The 20,173-nt window shown below is 37.5% G+C and overlaps 1 long non-coding RNA gene across 2 annotated transcripts in view, besides 2 other annotated features; it reads left to right on the top strand.

Moving 5' to 3' along the window:
* Nucleotides 1-20,173, top strand: part of LOC107985126 (uncharacterized) — a 93,388-nt gene that overhangs the window by 30,737 nt on the left and 42,478 nt on the right. The gene's annotated exons all lie outside the window — the stretch shown is intronic.
* Nucleotides 2,404-2,937: an enhancer, noted in NCBI's record as "OCT4-NANOG-H3K27ac hESC enhancer chr18:25141435-25141968 (GRCh37/hg19 assembly coordinates)". NCBI's record gives its function as "activates a minimal SCP1, AML or CMV promoter by ChIP-STARR-seq in naive and primed H9 embryonic stem cells {active_cell/tissue: H9 hESC(naive and primed)}" and the evidence as "EXISTENCE:reporter gene assay evidence [ECO:0000049][PMID:30033119]".
* Nucleotides 7,196-7,697: an enhancer, noted in NCBI's record as "NANOG hESC enhancer chr18:25136675-25137176 (GRCh37/hg19 assembly coordinates)". NCBI's record gives its function as "activates a minimal SCP1, AML or CMV promoter by ChIP-STARR-seq in primed H9 embryonic stem cells {active_cell/tissue: H9 hESC(primed)}" and the evidence as "EXISTENCE:reporter gene assay evidence [ECO:0000049][PMID:30033119]".

Genomic DNA, 20,173 nt, shown 5'->3' with positions numbered 1-20,173 from the left:
TTTGGATTCCCTTGAGAAGGATATTTGATGACATGATCATGGGTCCAATTTCCTGATTATCCCAAGAGAAATGCTGGTCAGCATTTAATTTATTTTGGGAAAGGGAGGGTAATCCAGTGTGTGTCTCCGGCACTTGCCAATTCCTCTGTCTGAGGCCAAATTACTTCAGCCAGCTGTCTTGGCCTTCCAAAGCATTTCGAGCCCTGTGCTGGCCATACTTCACCACTGATCATTACCTCTGGCAGAAACTGTGCAAAACAGACATTACCTCAGGGCAGGCTTACTCCTAATGACATTGGAGGATGTAGAAGCACAAGTCTATTTTACTCTGGGGTCACTATTAGAACCTGCAGAACTCTGTAGTCACTCTGGTTGTAACAATAAACATGGGAATTCCATTCTATTTACCCATGTTACCATCTTTTTATTTGGTAAGATTGTGCCACAACATTGAAAGCAGACTTAGATGGTTCTGTAAAAATTGATTTTTTTGGACATGTACCTCTTCTCCATTTACTCAAGGCATCTATAACTCAGTAACAACCCAGACTCATTAGTAAATGTAATTTGAATATGGTTGGAGAAGTTGAGTGAAGAATTTGATATTTGTTCAAAATAATTTCAAATCTTTCTACATCCAAAGACAATAAGGTTTTGAAATAAGACTAGTTACACTCTCAATATAATTCCTGTCAAAGACACTTGGAAAAAGTGCCTTAGAAACATTCATTCATTCAAAACATATTCATCAAGTATCTACCATGTATTAGACAATTTTCTAGATATGAGAAATACTATCACAAATTAAACAGATAGGTGCTAATCTTTACAGAGCTAATTGTTTCTGGGGGAGGCAGCCACAAAACAAGTTAAAAGATAGACAAAAAATGTTCAAGTCTAATAAGTGCTAGGAAGAGAACAAACAAGGAGTTTAGAGGGAGAAAAGCAGAGGCCATTTTAGGGATGTTTCCAAATAGGCCATGTGGACCCTGAGACCCAAAGACAGAAGGAGTAAAGGAAGCAAAAGCTATCTATGCAGAGAAAAAGAGTAAGTAAAACTCTTGAGATGGGATAAACCAAAATGAATGAGAGAGACACTGGAACAAGATGAGGTTGGAGAGAGAGACAGGGTTCGAGGCATGCATGCATGGATTTATAGACCAAAGCCAGGTGTTTTCATTATATTCTAAGTAAAATGGAGAGTCCAAAAAAGAGGGCTTTTGTTTTTATAATATGATTCCATTTTTGCTTTAAAAATGCCTTTTTGTTTCACTTGAGAATAGAAAAGTTTGGAGGAGATAGAAGGAAATAAGAAAAGAAGTAGAGAGACCAATTAGAAGACAGTTGTAGAAATCCAGGAAGGAAGTGACTTATGATAGTGGCTGTAGGAACGGAGAGCAGCAAAATATTTGAGATAGGTTTTGGAGGTTGAATGTTGAGAAATGGTTAATAGATTAGATATGGGTGAAGCAATAAGTATAAAGATGACTGTAGTTTTCTGCTAAAATAATGTGGAAGAAACTGGAAACAAGACAGGAAGACCTGTGTCTTATCTGGGGAATGGCAGTTTTATCCAGAACCAGTCTGTAGGCTACAATCGTACATATTTATTTCACAGACACTGAGCCAACATGTGGGTCTACGTAGGAAAAAGAATCTGATGAAGTGTGCCTTTCTTGTGAAGACTGGAAAACAAAGTTGTGGGGACCATTCATCTTATCTTAGGTGACAGCAGAAGCTCTCCTCGACCTAACTCTATTTGGGCTTCCCTAGGCCCTCAAGGCCCTGACCTTTGGCTCTGTACTTGGCTGGTTTAGTCCTGTTTCAGCAAGAATCCTGCTGAATTCGTTTAGTAAAAATTTCCCATCCTTGATATCTGTTTAAATTCCTCATTCCCTGACCTCGATATGTTACTCTCTGGCCTGCCTTCAGCAAGAATCCTAAGTGGTGGGTCTAGCAGGAATTCCCCTAGCCTTGATGTTTCCTCTTAGTAATTTTTTAGCCTCTGATTCCCCAACCCTACTCCTTGGCTATAAATCTCCATTTGGCCTTGCTGTTTTCTGAATTAAGCCCAAGCGCTCTCCCTTACCTCAGAACTCCGTTGTAATAGCCCCCTTGCCCCTAACGAATGGAGTCCGCTTAACCCATCTTTAGCAATTGTCATGAATATTTTTTCTTTAAAAGTGAAGGAAAAAAAAGCAGTCGGGAAAGAATGAGAAAGTATAGCAAGAGCTAAGAGTTTGGAAAAATGGAAGTGAATGAATATTTTTAAATGGCGGGAGGAGAGCCATCAGCAGAGAGAAGTGATGGCTAAGTGCCTTGTAAGTGAGAGTATTGGATGACAGGGCTTGGGGAGAAAGATTCTGCATCTCCGCCAACACACCCCCCCCACTCCTCCTCTTCTCAGAAGAAAAGGTAAAGTCTCCCACACTAGGGGCCTTTCCTTCCCCTATCCTCCCAGCCACACAAGTTGTTTTCCTGTTCAAATAAAATTTCTCTTTTAAATTCCACAAATCCCCAGCATGACAATTCTATAGAAACGGAAACACTGTGGAAACATTTGCTTACCTGAGGAAGCACTGACTTTGTATCATTCAAGACCCTGGAACGGATGCATGTGTACTTAGGAGGAAATGACTATAGATATCCCACAGAGATAGCATGCTGAGATCATTGTCATTCCAATGACACTTGCGTTTGCATTACACTTAAAGCTCTTGATTATTTTGAATGCATCTTTCAGTGACATGTAAAGCTGATCAACCTGAAACTTTCCAAACACACACACACACACACACACACACACACACACACCTATGAAGTGGAACATGTAAGATAAACTCAGACTAGTCTGGGCATTGATTGAGTGTGATTTTTTTCATTCTAGATTTAATTCCTCAAGGATTCTAATATAAATCTGAATGCAGATTTGACTCAATTTACAGTGTGTGCCTCTCTAAGAAAATGGTTAAAGAATTGACAACTCAAAATCCATGTAGATCATTTTAACATTACTTGTCTCCTGAATTAGATGTTTTTGAGTATACTGGCTAATATCAATTTCTTAAACAGTTGTACTGTACATGCATTTCTTATATTCTTGACAATCCAAAAGACATTCTTGGAAAACGTGGTTCAGAAGTTGCCCCTTCTTTGATGTATTCTCTTTCTCTTTCTCCAGAATATTGGTGGCAATCTGCCTTGAGCAGTGAGAAGGAGTAGAGTACAGGATATAATTTCAGTATCTTTGGTCTCTGGCTTTAGATTATTCATCCAAAAGTTATAACAAAGGTTAAGAATCTCTCATCGACCAAATGGTCTTTGGTATTGGAATTGCAGGTATCTTGTTAACAGTTTGATCAAGTCATTTCATCAGGCAGACTCCTGATGGGTGTGAGGAGCCTCCTTCACATAATGCAGTCCCACAGCTGTCAATCAGTTCTCTAGGGTTTTGCACACTTGAATGGAGATAATACCTAACCACAGCATTTATCATCAAGTCTGAAGTACTTTTCAAGTGTGAGTATTCTTCTATCACTGAATCAGGATAAGCCTGTAAAATAAATTGTTAGGGGGAAAAAAGTATCCTTTGTCCTTTGGGTCTTGAACAAAAGGGAAAAGCTTTCTTGTAATAACCTGCAGCCGAATCAGGGCCATCAGGTAAATCAGAAAATAGGACTTTTGCAAAGGCTAGGCAGATTTCTGAAATAAATTTGTAAAAATGCAAGCTTTTCTAGGATGTGTTTTCCAGTTTCAGAACTTGAAATTCAGCTGGAGTTTTGAGCAAAGTCCAGAAATGATATTTAGAACTTTTTCAAACTCTGAAACCCTGAGGTCTTCCTATTCTATCCATATTTTTCTTTTAACAGTCAGCAGCCCTAAAATACAAAACACAAAACAAAATGTACACACTCTTCAAACAACCAAAAACTTCTCTCATATGGAATATGAAACAGAAGTTTGGCAGTTATGAACATAATCACAAGCAGATGCACATAGAACCTGAGAAAATACAAATATCCTTTTCATCTCTTGATAGCAATCACTCTTGTCAGGTATTTCTGGTATCAAATGTTGGTTCTATCTTGCCGAAGTCTTGCTTTCTCTTGCTTCACAATTTCTCTTCTACATTTGATTTCTCCTCTCTATTTGTAACACTTCTATACTTCCAATGTTCTTTTGTATTTGGGCTTGATGGCTTTTAATATCACATTGTCTTATAAACTGAATAGCAGTTTGGGCTTGATGGCTTTTAATGCCATGTCTTCCAATAAACTGAATATCATTGTGTGTAGGTTTGTGTAGGTTTCACTTACTCACACATTCAGGTGTGCGTGAGTAGGTAAAAGCATCAATCTCTTAAGCAGCAATATTAATATGACCACATAGGGAAGGAATTTGTTGTTATATGAAATTAAACAGTGGTGGCAGTTTCTAGTTCTCACAAAACACCTACACAGGATTTCTTTTCAAATCCTGAAAGCAAACATAGAATAGCATCTTGTGCATGCTATGTTTGAAAACCTCTTCCACACCGGCTGAGTTGCAATTTATTTCTTCTGCAAGATGAGTTGCCACCACTATTGTATGTGTTGGAGAGACTGCTTGAGCAGAAAGTCTAACATTTTTTCTCATTCTTATTGTTTACTTATAAGGATCTGCCAAAGAGAGATGCACTTTGCATTCATGACTGACAAAAAAATTAATTAATTTGATGCTTGGGGAAATAATTATGTAAATGTACTTCAAGAATTCCATACATGGTCTATAAAATAAGACAAAGTAGCCACTGCTGGCTTTGGATCTATAAGCTGTACTTAGTCACAAGACTCATTTCTAAGGAAAAATCGTAAATAAATAATATTAAAACTGTGACCATCTGAGACAGTTATGTGATGTTTGAAAGTGTTTGAAACTACTTACCATAATCAGGGCTTTTCCAACTTTTCTAACTTAGCAGCAGAGAAAAGTAAATATGAACCCTTGGGCAATTCAGGGGATAGTCTGTTGCTCTAAGTATGAAATTTCTTTGAAGTCTCATAAATATTCATGAGCATTTTGCATTCTATACATGTAATATACCTGTTTATTTCAATACAAAATTAATATGTCCCCTACCTCCTTGAATAAAAAGATGCTGGAAGAGATAACCAACTTTATTCTGGGACTTCCAGTAGCTGCAAAGATTCTGCCAACATCGCCAGGGTGTATCCCAGGTGAAGGGGCTTGCAGTGATCTGTCCATCTTGTCGTAACAACCCCTTGGAGTATTCTAAGGAGGTAGCTCTTGTTGTCCTTAGTTTACAAAAATAGGAACTGGGGCTTAGAATTTTTAAGTAACTTGATAGAGGTAAGCTGTAGTTTCTCAATTCCAAGCCCCATTGCTCTTGTCATGGAATTGAGCTGCCTGCATAAATAAATCAACTTGTATCCTCAGCGCTCTCAATGGAGCCAAAAATAAAACCTCTTCTGTCAGCACCTCACTGCTGCTCCCACCCTCTCATCCCAGCCCAAGAATTTTAGAGATGTTACATAAGACTGACATTTTTCAACTGGACTGTTTTTGCTTCAAATAAGCTCTCAAAAATGTCACCAACATTTTGTAGTTTTCAGAGTGGGGAGCAGGGATAGAAGGAAAAACACGTACACATGGGCCTTTTCTCTTCAAGTTAATTCACTTTCTAAATCACTCACTTGCTCACTCACTCTCCATCTCACAGACAAGCATACAGTCACCAAAATGGTAGGCACCGTGTTCTAAGCACTGTGCTATGAGATTTAGTTGCTCTCTGCAGACAAATTGCAATATAATTTTTCTCTCTTTTTGATTCACTCATATCTCTCTCATAGACCAGTGAGTGGAATAGATAGACAACTAAATATAGAAGATGACACAGTGCAAACAGCTCTTTCATTGAGATAGGACCAGGATTTTATGAGAACACGGGAGGTATACCAAAATGAGAATGATCAGTCAGGGAAGCCTTCTGGGAGATGTGGTAGTGAGCTGAAATTTGAGGGGTGAGTAGGAGTTGGCTAGACTAATCAAGGCAGAGAGGGAGGAGACACGAATGGGTTAGGGAGGTCACACTGGTTTCCTCATGGTGCTAGTTCTAATCCCACATGGAGTTAACCAGAGAAATATGTTGAGATGGATTTGTAGACCTTGTCTAGTCTCTACTGGGAAAAGCTCCCAAATCAAACTGTGATGTATACCATTGGCGGAGTAAGGGGAGTGTCAAGCATTTGTCAGCCTTATTCTCAAGGGCTTGTTGGAAGGGAACCAAAATGGAAGATTCAGATTTAATTATTATGACATGGAAAGAAGTAAGAGTGATAAAAAGCAACACTGGCAATTTATTGCAGAATGAGAGGGCATTATATATTTGTTCCAGTCTTTTGTGTATTCTTACATTTTCTTATTTAATGGAAGAAAGATGTAATTGAATTTTTCCTGTGAGATTCTGAAAATGCCATTGTTCTTATTTGCACATTTTTATATCTATTTGCTACCATGGTCACAATATAGTCTTTCTTATTTATATGAAGTATTTTGAGAAACCTTTGATATGGGAAGACTATGATCTATTTGTTAATGTATTATACATAAGCATGGTTTGAATCTATTTTATCTAAACCTGTGCTATCTTTTCAACTGAGTTTGCATAAAAACGTATTTCTAGTGCCCTTAGAATACATGACATTTTATCAAAAGTGACCTGTGTGCTCCTGTATGTTTCTCCTGCAATGATGCCTCCTGGGTTTCTGGTAACAAAGAATCCGAAGCTTCTGAGAGAAGTTAATGTTCTTTCTTTTGAAGACTGTGAGTTTGTGAGATCACACACTAGGTAACTGAAACCTGAAACATCATAAAGGTATTTTCAAAACTCAGGCATTCTGTGCATGAGACATGAAATGAATTTCATGCGCATCAGCTCCCCGGAGCCTTGTCACAATAGATAAGGCCAAATAGAAGGATACAGCATTACTTCTTGTGGGCTACTGAGCAGCAGAGTTAATAACTGAATCATAATTTCACTCCAGGACATAGAAGCTGCTACATCCTGTCCTCTTTTGATCCCTTTATCCATAATAACAAAAGTAGGAATACTTTTAAATCAGACAAAATAATGAATACATCCATCTGTGCTCTCTTATAATTTGGCTTAAAAACACTTATTCAAAATCACTTTGTCTGGATGGGCTTCTCAAATTAATCTCACCATCTGATAACTTAAATATTTCATTTATGCAGTACATTGATTGTATTAATTGTCCCAGTTCTTCATCACCACCACCACCAATCATATTGGCACCTTCTGCAATGTGACTTAGCAGAGCACAGCATTGAGGAAATATATTTCCCTGATCCTTGATTTAGAGTTTGGCCATGCGACTAAATTTGGCCAGCATATGTTCACAGTTGTGATGCAAATAGAGGCTTGTTAAAGTACCTGCCATTTCCATCTCTTCTTTTGCTTCCCTGACTTTGCCATGAGAACACGTCCAGGCTAGCCTGGTAGAGAATGAAAGACATGTGGCCCACGTGTCCCTAGTGCTCCAACTGATAGCTAGCCAACCATCAGACATCATTACTATGGAAATAATCCACAGATATTTGACCAACCCTGCTGAGCTCAGCCTACATTGGCTGAACGCTACAGACTCATGAGTTAAATCTGTATGTATTGTCTTATGACATCAAGATTTTCTGCTTGTTACACAACTGTAGCATAACTCATGATAATTTCTGTTGTTTCTTTATATTATTTTAGAATTTATAGTATAGGTATATATTTATATTATGCTTTTGTCATATGCACTAAACCTATTCCATTATCCTCCTCTGTCCTTATTCACCTTAAAGAACTTTCTACAAAGGGACTTCAAAAATTTCATGGAAAAATAAAATTAAAGGATAAAAATAAAAATATTGAAATTATTTCACAACATAAGCTCTGGCAAGTTAAACATACTTTTGTAAGCAATGATATCAGCCATTTAGTTCATCCCTAAAGAATTGAGGGTCCTAGGAAATTAACTATGTAAATGCAATATTATTCCATGATTAACAGAAGAAAAATGGGTGCTCTTTAAAGATAGATTTATTTATTTATCTATTTATTTATTTATTTATTTATTTATTTATTTATTTATTTATTTTGAGACAGAGTCTCTGTCGCCCAGACTGGAGGGCAGTGGTATGATCTTGGCTCACTGCAACCTCCACCTCTGGGGTACAAGCAATTCTCCTGCCTCAGCCTCCTGAGTAGCTGGGGTTACAGGTAGCCACCACCAGGCCCAGCTAATTTTTGTATTTTTGTTAGAGATGGCATTTCACCATGTTGCCCAGGCTGGTCTCAAACTCCTGACCTCAAGTGATCCACCTGCCTTGGCCTCTCAAAGTGTTAGGATTACAGGCGTGAGCCACCATGCCCAACTAAAGATTTTTTTAAAGATTAGGAATCAAAAAGAAGTCAGAGATGCCAAATGAGGACTGTAAGGTAGATGTCTAATGATTTCCTATTGAAACTCCTGCACTGTTATCTTTGATGAGATAAATAAGCAGGAGCATTGTCGTGGTGGAGAGGGACTCTCTGGTGAAGATTTCCTGGGCGTTTTTCAGCTCAAGCTTTGGCTTCCTCAAAGCACTCTCATAAATAAGCAGATGTTTTCATTCTTTGGCCGCCCAAATAGTCAACAGCAAGATGCTTGAGCATCCCGAAACACTGCTGCCATGACCTTTGCTCTTGATGTGTCAGCTTTTGTTTTGACTGGGCCACTCCCACCTCTTGGTAGCCATTGCTTAGATTGTGGTTTGTCTTCAGGATTGTACCGGTAAAGCCATGTTTCATCTCCTATTACAATTCTTTGAAGAAATGCTTCAGGATCTTGATCCCCCTCATGTAAAATGTCCATTGAAAGCTCCACTTTTGTCTGCAGCTAATCTAGGCACAACAGTTTTGGCACCCACCAAGTGGAAAGTTCACTCAACTTTAATTTTTCTGTCAGAATTGTGTAAGCTGAGTCAATTGAGATGTCTATGGTGTTGATTATTGTTACTGCTATTAATAATTGGTCCTCTTCAATTAGGGCATGAACAAGATTAATTTTTTCCTTGAAAATTGATGTGAATGGCATGCACTTCAAGCTTCATCTTCAACATTGTCTTGTCCCTTCTTAAAACTAGTTATTATTTGCATAATGCTGATTTCTTTGGGGCATTGTCTCCTAGAACTTTTTGTAAAGCATCAGTGATTTCACCATCCTTTCACCCAAGCTTCACCTTAAATTTGCCATTTATTCTTGTTTCAATTTTAGCAGACATCATGTTGTTCTGATAGGGGCTCCTTTCAAACTGATGTCTTACCCTTCTTAGTGCCTCAAACTAGATTCTGTTCAGATATGTTATAACAAGTTAGTATGAGTTTATTTTGGTACAAAAAAATTTGAGATCCATGCGCAATTTTTTCATAATACATATTTTTCATGAAAATTTTAAAGACCCTTCATATTTGAGACCCTAAAATATCACATGGTTCTTTGCCTCCTCCTCCCAAAATAATTATGTGGACTAAGGTTGCATATCTGTTCTAAGAACAGACAAGCCATTGCCTGACTGGCAGCTAATCAGATTCCGTGTCTATTATGAAGAAAAAAAATTGACTTAAGTCAGCTAAGATTCTTGCTGAAGCTAATGCAGTGACTGAGAGATAGAAATGTTAGCCATGGTGAACCATGTGCATGGTTACTTAGTAGATAAAGAAAGTTGTGAAAGAGAAGCTAATATATTAGATAAAGCATAGATAAGAAATCCGGTGGCTACTGAAAAACATCAAGGATGGCTTGTGCCTTAATGCTCTCCCTTGTGCCTTAATGCTCTCTAGTCTCCAGGTCTGGCTTTTCATAGGCATGACCGTGAGTCTGATCTTTGACTCTAAGAGATTCCCTTTCACCTTCAGTAACCAGCCAGATTTCACTTCCTCCACTTTTTAAAAATAAAACTTTAATTTTTAGAAGACAGAAGCTTCCCAGAAATCCACACCTAATTCTCCCTATTATTACTTTTATTAACATCTTCCATCAACGTGGTACATTTGTTACAACTAATAGGCCAATACTGACACAGCATTATTAACTGAAGTTCATAATTTACTCAGATTTCCTTAGATTTTATCTAATATCCTTTTTTTTGGTTCCGGGATCACATCTAGGATACCACATTACATTTAGTCATCATGTCTCTTTAGGCTTCTCTTGGCTTTGATAGTTTCTCAGACTGCTTGTTTTAGAGGACCTTGGTAATTTTAAGGACTGCTGGTCAGGCATTTTGTAGAATGTCTCCAAGTGGGATTTGCCTGTTGTTGTGTGTGTGTATGTGTGTGTGTGTGTGTGTGTGTGATTAGACTGGGGTAATGTGTTTTGGAGAGGAAGGTCACAGAGATAAACAGCCAATCTCATCACATTGCAAGAGTACATCCTATTGGTGAGGCATGGTGGCTCACACCTATAAACCCAACATTTCGAGAGGCTGAGGTGGGAGGACTGTTTGAGTCCAGGAAGTCAAGACCAGCCTGGACAATACAGCAAGACCCCACTGCTACAAAAATTAAAAAAATTAGTCAGGGATTTTGGTGCATGCCTGTAGTCCCAGCTACTCAGGAGGTAGAGGCAAGAGGATCATTTGATCCCAGGAGTTCTAGGCTGTAGTGAGCTATGATTGCACCACTGCTACAGTAAGCTATGAGTGCACCACTGCATGTCAGCCTGGGAAACTGAGCAAGACAAGACCTTGTTTTGTAAAGAAATAAATACAAAATTAAAAGAAATAAAAAATAAATAAAAGAGTACCTGTGGCTGGGTGCAGTGGCTCACTCCTGTAATCACAACACTTTGGGAAGCCGAGGCCAATAGATCGCTTGAGCTCAGGAGTTCAAGACCAGCCTGGGCAAATGAGTGAGACCCCTCATCTCTACAAAAAATACAAAAATTAGCCAGGCATGGTGGCATGTGCCTGCAGTCCCTGCTACTCAGGAAGCTGAGGTCGGAGAATGGTTTGAGCTTGGGAAGAAGAGGTTGCAGTGAGTCAAGATCATGTCACTGCATTGTAGCCTGGGGAACAGAACCAGACACTATCTCAAAAAAAAAAAAAAAAAAAAAAAAGAGTACGTGCTACTAACATAACTTATTGTTGATGATGTCAACTTGATCACCTGGGTGAGGTAGTGTTTGGTAGGTTCCTCTACTGTAAAGTTACTCTCTCTTCCCGTGCTTTTTATACTGTACTCTTTAGAAGAAAGTCACTATGTGTAACCCACAGCTAAGAAATGGGGAATTATGCTTCCTCTCCTTTCGGTCAGAGTATCTACATAAATTATTTGGAATTCTTCTGCAAGGGACATTTTTTAATTCTCTCCTATGTATTTACTTATTCAATTATTTATATTCATATAATGAATACATACACAGTTATGAATATTTATTTTATATTTTTGGTTATAACGCAGTATTATGTTATTTGTTTTATTGATTAAATTTTTTCCTCTTTGCCTACTGGGAACTCTTCAGTTGGCTCCTGTGTCCTTTTGGCATTTGTGGTTTTTTCTTTTTTCTTTTTTAGCACTTTCTTACCTTCTGGCACTATAAGATGTTCCCCCTGCTACTGCTTACTGGAACTAATTTCAGCAGTTCTCTTGCTTGCAATCACCAAGCTTAACTAGAACATAGATTTACTTGGATTCTTAGTTCCATGTTCTTACTATTTTATTTTCTTAGCTCTATGTGCTAGTGTGTGCATTTGTTCATTGTGCGTGTGTTTTCATGTACTCACTAGGTGGAAAGGCATGCCAGAAAGAGAATTATGATGATACAGAGGACCAAAAAAAAAAAAAAAAAGGTTAGGAAATACTGACTTCTGGAATACCCAAGGGTGAAGTCAGTGAAGAACAAAGCTATTATTGCTTTGCTCTACTTCCTTGCCAATCAAGAACACAGATACATCTTAGCAGACATTTTTAAGAGTAATTATAACTTACACTAATTATAATGTGGTAACTACCCATATTTCTAATATTTTAGCTGTGTATTAATAGCATGAACTAATAAAATCATGCTAAAATATGTCAAAATACCAGTAGGATGTTATCTTTTAGACAGAACGGGTACAGCAGAAGTTATTCCAGAAGGATTTGTTCCACAGTGAGTCCAGAAGGAGAGAATTCACATATAAGATTAATGATGGTTGGGTGCAGTGGTTCATGCTTATAATCCTAGTACTTTCACCGGCTGAGGTGGGAGGATTACCTGAGCCCAGGAGTTTGAGACCAGACTAGGTAACATAGGGAGACTCCAGTCTTTACAAAAATATAAACAAATAAATAATCCAGGTGTGGTGGCGAGTGCCTGTAGTCCCAGCTACTAAGAGGCTGAGGTGAGAGGATCACTTGAGCTCTGGAATTTGAGGCTGCACTAAGCCACGATCGCACCACTGCAACTCCAGCCTGGGCAACAGAGCTAGACCCTATCTCTAAGAAAACAAACAAACTAAAAAAGAATAATGCCAGTACTTTGGGAGGCCAAGGCAGACGGATCATGAGGTCAGGAGTTCAAGACCAGCCTGGCCAACATAGTGAAACCCTGTCTCTACTAAAAATACAAAAATTAGCCAGGCATGGTGGTGTGCACCTGTAGTCCCAGCTACTCAGGAGGCTAAGGCAGGAGAATTGCTTGAACCTGGGAAGTGGAGAGTTTGGTGAGCTGAGATCGCACCAATGCACTCCAGCCTGGGCAACACAGCCAGACTTTGTCACAAAAAAAAAAAAAAAAAAAAATGATGATGAATACTCTGTGCTCTGTGCTGACCACTCTACTAAGTGCTTTACTGAAATGTTCATTTTAAGTGCTTTACTGAGATGTGAGTTTCTTGGGGAAAAACTCTGCATCTTCAATCATCGCATTCTTTGTAACAAGGTCAGGGTTTGACAAAGAGTATAAATATGTGTTGAATGAATGCTCATATCCAACTTCCTCCCTCTCTTGTCTTTCAGCAAATTTTGTATTTCATAATACATTTTATTCAGTTCTTCTTTCAATTTCTTCTTTGATGCCAACAAGGCAATACTTACAAGAAGCTGAACTTAAGTCTATATTTATACTTCATCCCATAACAGAAAACACTATTTCAAAGAGTAAATGAGTTTGTGAAATGCTTTTTAGGTAACTATTATAGACACTGCACTGTAACAATCAAAATGGCGGCACTCTCTCTAAACTGCACTGCTCTCCGCCCTTCTCAGAATTTCCAACTCTTAAAGTTCTCCTTTGGTTTTTCAGAGACCCATTAGTCTGTCACCCAAGGTCTGCCTCCTTGTAAGATTTTTGCCCTTTTTTTGATTGTGTGTTCTTTACATGAACACATCAAAACCATCAAATAATGTGGTATCAAAGGTCAACTGCTTCCAAGATATTGAGTGCTTGACTGTGGCTAAGGGGCAGTAGACATCTGAGAAATCCTCAGCTGGTGATTGTTTATTAGTAACATAAAACATGAGCTCTCAAGCAAGTGGAAAAAGTACAAAGATAAAACTTTAATTTGAGCTTCTTTGTGTGAGTCTGGGCATAGTCAGGGAAAATAACTGTTATTCAAATTAATCTTGCTTTTCTTTTTCCATTAGCCACTCTGCTCATCTCGTCCAATGATGGCACAATATACAATTATGAAGGATGCAAACTCTACTCTAGAACCACTCCACCCTTTCTCTCATTGTGTCTCTTCTGTTCTGACTCTGTCCCTCAGAGCCAAAGTTCCATTCTAGAAGGAACTAAACAATAACTGGAATCTCAGAGAACATTAGTACCTCCAGCTTGTTAGCTGATTTAACAGCTAAAGCTAAGCAAAAACAACATTTATGTTAATCACATATGGAATCACATTGTCTGTTTTAAGTGTAGTATTCTAATTTGTGTTTTGATATTTTTAAATCTTGGAAAAAGTAAACACTAACCACTCCTCAGTCTACTTTGCTTTTTCCTTTTCCTATCCCTCACTCTGAGAGTTGGAATAGCCCAGAGATCTAGTCTTGACCCTTTTAAATTTTTCTTCTCTATCTTGTCCCATTTTTTTTAGTCCTGTCCAGTGCAATTTTCTGTGATGATGAAAATCTCTATCTGTGTTGCCCAATAGGTAGCCAATAGCCATATGTGTCAATTAAGCTTGAGATGTGACAAGTGTGCCTTGGAAACTGAACATTTAATTTTATTAGCTTTTAATTAATTTTAATGGTAGCTGCATGGAGGTAGTGGCTACCATATTGACTAAAGCGGTAGAGTAGGAATGGTCTCATTTAATGCTATGACTTTGAACTACATTCACGATTTTACATCCAAATTTTATCTCAAATATTTCCACTTCTTATCATCACTTTGGTTACCCTAGTCCAAGCAATCATAGTTGCTTTCAGCAACTATGGTATCCTATCTCGTCTTACTGGCACTATCTTTGGTTTCTTGTGTTAAACCACTCGTGTTTTAAGTGATTACTCTGACAGCTATGTGGAGAATATACTTCAGTGTTGACAGTATATTCTCCACATAGCTGTCAGAGTAATCACTCAAAACACAGGTTGTACACATCATATCACTCCCCTGCTCAAATCCCTCATATTAGTTTTATTGATGCTATAAAAAATTACCACAAACTTAGTAGTTTAAAACAACACAAATTTACTTTCTTACCTTTCTGTAGGTCAGAAATCTGATGTATGTCTCACTGGACTACAATCAAGGTGGCTACAGAGCTGCGTTTCTCTCTGGAGCCTCTAGGAGAAAATCAGTTTCCTTATCTTTTTCAGCCTCTAGAGGCCACCTGCATTCCTGGACTTGTGGCCTCTTCCTCCATCTTAAAGCCAGCAAGAGAGCATCATTCTGGGCCAGCTTCTCTCCTCACCGCTTTCACTGACCGCAGTCAATAAAGGCTCTTTGATTTTAAGGTCTCCTGTGATTAGTTTGGGCCCACATAATCCAGGATGATCTCCCTATTTCAAAATTCTTAACTTAATCATAGCTACAAAGTCCCTTTTTTTCATGTAAGGGAACACATTCACAGGTGCTGGGGATTAGAGCATGGGCATCTGGGGGCCATTATTTTGATTATGAGATACTTTGGATCACTTGCTTGATCTGGTCTTTTTTTTACCTCTTTGAACTCTTTCTACTACTCTGCTCCATTCTTGCAACTTCACAATAGTCAATACTTCCTTCTCAAAGCTTTCCATCTAGCTTTAAACTTCTTCAACATCTTCCTGACCCTTCCCATTTTCTTTTATCAGGGCTCTATTCAACTCAACTGTCACTTCCTTGGGGACACCTTCTCTAACCATCTTGACTAAAAAACAAAAAACCCAACAACAAACACATCAAAAACAGCCCTCCCTGCCTAGATTAAACTCTGCTAAACTTAACTCTTACTTTTTAAAATTGAACTTATCATTATCTGAAATTATATTAAAATAAGATTTGTGTGCTTGGATCTTAGCTATACACCAAGCATGTAAGCTGCTGAAAAACAGAAACCTTATCTTCTAGTTCATTGTCAAATCTCTAACACTTAAAACAGTGTCGATGCTCAGTAAGTATTTGTTGAATGAATGAATAATTGAATAGTGTGATATATACTCTTTTCATAATAATGGAATTTGATTAGGTGATTCTGACCATATTCAATAAATGTTAATAAAGACTTAATGTTATTGAGTAAAAGGACATATTCACCCATGAATAATCTATATCCATTTTTGCCCATTATCAAACTGAAGTCTCAAGCTAAATTAACTCTATTGATATAATTTAGAGAGAAAATATCATAATCTTATGATTTCCCTTGAAGGCAGAAACTATATTTGCTTACTGTACCATGTAAATGTAGGTGCACAATAAATTACATTTTATGAGAACAAAATAATTCTGATAAAAGTAAACGGGACAAACACTTGCATGACTGATAAAAACTAAATTTATCCTTATTTTCAAGAATAACTTTTACATCCATTTCACTGATTAAAATTGTATACTCCATCAGTGCAGAAGTCCCCAGTTTCTCATTAATACCTGTACATGGTGTAACACACTAATTGTTACCATGGTAATTTACAAAGCCTGTAATTCTCAGGCAAAGTCTGGCTTCTCTCTATTAAATATTTATAAAGAGTAATTAGATGTTTTCATACCTTCACAACTTTATGTGTCTGCCAAATATTTCATATTCTGGATTTCACACTATAAAGTTAAAACAATTAAAACAAATTAAGCACAGAATGGCGATCAGCGACTGGATACTGAAGCACGTGCAAGGGCCTTTAATAGATTGTACACCATACTCTTGAATGGATGTATTGGAACAATTGTCTCCCTTGACCCAGTCAATAACTGCTGGTCAGAGTTGCACATTTTTTTAGGGCTTAGAAAGCTATGGTATCAGATTCATGCAATTTATTCCATGTCATGGGGTGTGTGAGTATGTAAGGAGGGCAAAGCCAGAGGAAACCGGAAGTATGAAATCCTGGTGTTCATTCCTGAAACTGAAATAGGAATAATGATCATTTCATAAAGCCTAAAATGGCAGAAATCAATTAAAAAATAAAACATAAGGTATTGCTTTATACTGCCCACCTGTGTGCCTCTCCCTGCTTCCTTATTTTTATATTAAAGTTCATGTTGGCACATGAATTTTCTTACATAGTGATCCCTAGCTTGAGTAGCCACACACAGCGTCCGGTTTGCCTGTGATAGACTGGTTTATGTTGGTTGTCCGAGGGTCATTACTTAATAGTTTGGATGATACATTATGTTTGCACCCGAACACTCACCCATATGCATTACAAAAGAATAGCAGCTGGCAAATGTTACAATGAAAAAAAGATTTTTATATAATTATCGGTGTAAAAATACAACAATACTGTTCATATTTTTCCATGGAATTATTTCCATTAGTTGGCATGAGATGTTGGCTTTTGGAAATATAGCAGCTGAGTTCTGGTTTATTTACTTAGAGAAAAATTGTGGTATATTTCAGTGTGCCATGTTGGTGTGTGTTGTATACATAAACACACCCAAAGGACACACACACTTGTAATATCATTACAGAAGTAAGACTCAAGTTGTTTGTTTACACTGTAGGCTCAGACATGTTCATGCTTGTCTAGAGAGCTAGTAGGATAAGGCTGCCTCTGCACTGGGACAGGTAGAAGAGTGGTTTCCATTCGCATAATGAGCAGAGAAACCTGATAAAAATGTGAAGACTCATAAATTTGTCAAAGCCGAAAGGATCCACTCAAAGTGATTACGAATTAGTGTGAGTGTGGATGTGTGTCTTGCTACACAGTTTGACTAATGTATTAAGGAAATCAAGTAATGATAATCTAACAAATTCTAAGGGTGATTATACTTAAAATTTCCTATGGTTATACATTTATTCACTCCCATCCCTCATTAGAGTGTCTCTTTCCTCCCTCCCTTCCTCTCTCCTTTTCTTCTTCTCTCCCTCTCTTCCTTCTTTACTTTCTTCCTCTCTGCCTATCCCTATTTAATCAAGGATAATTATAAAAAGTATAAACTTGACAATTGATCCAACTTTCCAGATAGCTCCCACCCAGGAACCACATACTCATCCAAATACACAGATTTTATCACATACACCTAAAACTTGTAAATTCATCTCATATCAACTTTTTTTTGACTTTTAAAATCTTTCTTTATTAGATCTATTATTCAGACTATGATGATAGCATTTTGGAATGATAAGGCTCTCTCTCTCTCTTTCTTTTATTTTGTTTAATTTTATTTTAGTGTGGTAAAAACACTTAAACTCATGAGATCTACCTTTCTAACAAATTTAAGTGTACAGTACATAATCAGCAACCATGGACTATAGGTACAAAATTGTACAGCAGATCTTAACAACTCATTCATCTTAACTGAAGCGATTCCTGTTGATTAGTAACTCCCCATTTCCTCCATCTCCTGGTAACCACCATTTCAACCTTTGATCCCATGAATTTGACTATTTTAAATACTTCATATAAGTGGAATCATGCTGTAGTTTTCTTTCTGTGACTGGTTTATTTCACTTAGCACAATATCCTCAAAGTTCATCCATGTTGTTGCATATTACAGAATTTTCTTATTTTTTAAGGCTGATTTTATTGTATGTCCATGCCACATTTTCTGGATTCATTCATCTGTAGATCAACATTTAGGTTGTTTCCACATCTTGGCTATTGTGACTGGTACTGCAGAGAACATGGGAGTGCTATCATCTTCTCAAGATCCTGCTTCCCATTCTTCTGAATAAATACCCAGAAGCGGGATTGTGGGATCTTTTAATATTTCTATTTTTAATTTTTTGAGTAGTTCCGTGTAATGTTTTCCATAGCAGCTGGACTGTTTCGCATTCTCACTAAAAGTGTGCTAGCCATATGAACTTATGATAACCTTGTATTTTAACCTGTCAATAATTTGTGTGTGCATATAAAATTTTCACATGTTTATGTCATGTTCCAAAAATAGAGTGTAAGGTCCTTTTGAGCAAGGACCATGCCTTATATATGCCAGTGTAAGAGATGATCAGTAAGTATTTCTTACATTTCATTAGCATTGCTATACCACAAAGAACTAGGAATAGATGTTAGAAGATTTGGGCTTAAGTTCCAATTATGCTTCTAACATTTGCATAATCTTGGGCAAATCAATTCTTTTGAGACTACTTCTTTGTTTATATGATTGTGCATAATTTATCAACATAAAAAGCAGGCAGGCAAACTTGGAAAGAAATTTTTAAGATGGCTGATAGGCTTTGCTCTCTTTCTACCTTGGGGTTCACCCCTTGAAGGTATGTTGTGCCCCAAAGCAGAGCCATGCAGTCCCATTCTGCTTATTGCTAATTTGGCTTCTCTAGATGCTGCAATGTGATAATACAAAGCAATGTGTGAACAAGGGCTGTGGTGCTGTAGCAGCCTTGCTGTGAGAAATAATGGACCTCCTCTACTTTAATACAGGAAAGAAAGGATTCCATTCATCTTCAAGTTGCCAATATACTGTATTTGTCTGGAAGCTCAAGTCTTATAGATTAGAGCCACAGCTTTAAAATACAGTTTGCAAACAAGTAAAGTGTTTAGTAAAAATTCAAAGTAAGGCTGTATAAGAAAGGACACCTTGCCCATGAAAGAGAAACCAGGCAGCTAGCTGGGCTTCAAGCATAGAGGTAAAGACACAAAGTCAAAACATTTTGGATCCATAAATCAATTTATGGATTTGATGCTTCTATTAATGTTAGGACAGCATGACATTATAGTCACATTAAAGGACAGAAACCATAAGGTCAAATGCTTCCCTGCTGGCCACATACTGCCTGCCTTTGATTACTATTTCTTGTTTCTGCTTTAATTGGCTATGGGATGATTCTGTCCTATGTGAACCATATATTTGGTATGAATTCTTATGTTTATAAAGATATAAAATATCATAGCTTTTATTACACATATGTATCTTTTACATAGCTTTTAGGAATGTCTATATCATGGAATTGTTGTTTGAGACATTTGGGAAATCCTTACGTAAGGCATGTAATAAGCTCAGCATACTTGTATCAGCTGTCAAGATAAGGTAGGAATAATAGTTCATTTGATTTTGAGAATGGAGACTTTTGTCAATATCAATGTATATTTACCTGCAGGCTACAAATGGAAGAGGGTGCCCAGGTTGAAAGTAACTAGAAAGTCTAATAAAACCATGAATCAGAGCCAGACAGATCATTTAGGATCTGACAAAAGGTGGTTTCAAGACATCATCAATAACAATAATGTTGGGATGCTGTAGAGCTTCTTATAGTTTAATTAGTATTTTCATACACATTTTCTTGTGTTATCCAGGCACAGTTCTGTAAGAGACATGTTGTTATCTTTATTTTACTGAGGAGGAAGTAAGTGCAGAGAGAATTAATGAGTTAATAATTGTCCTAACTCTACTACTCACCAGCTTAAGCAAGTAACCTAACATGTCAGTATCTTGGGTTCTTTAAAACTAAAATGGGGATGATAATAATACTTACCTTATATTGATGTTGTGAGAAAGAAATAAGTTAAAGCATTTGGAAAGCAAAAGATAGAGTCTGACATGCAGTA

The sequence above is a fragment of the Homo sapiens genome, chromosome 18, assembly GCF_000001405.40.
Source record: "Homo sapiens chromosome 18, GRCh38.p14 Primary Assembly".
Classification (NCBI taxonomy): domain Eukaryota; kingdom Metazoa; phylum Chordata; class Mammalia; order Primates; family Hominidae; genus Homo; species Homo sapiens.
This window is presented reverse-complemented; position numbering and strand designations above follow the sequence as displayed.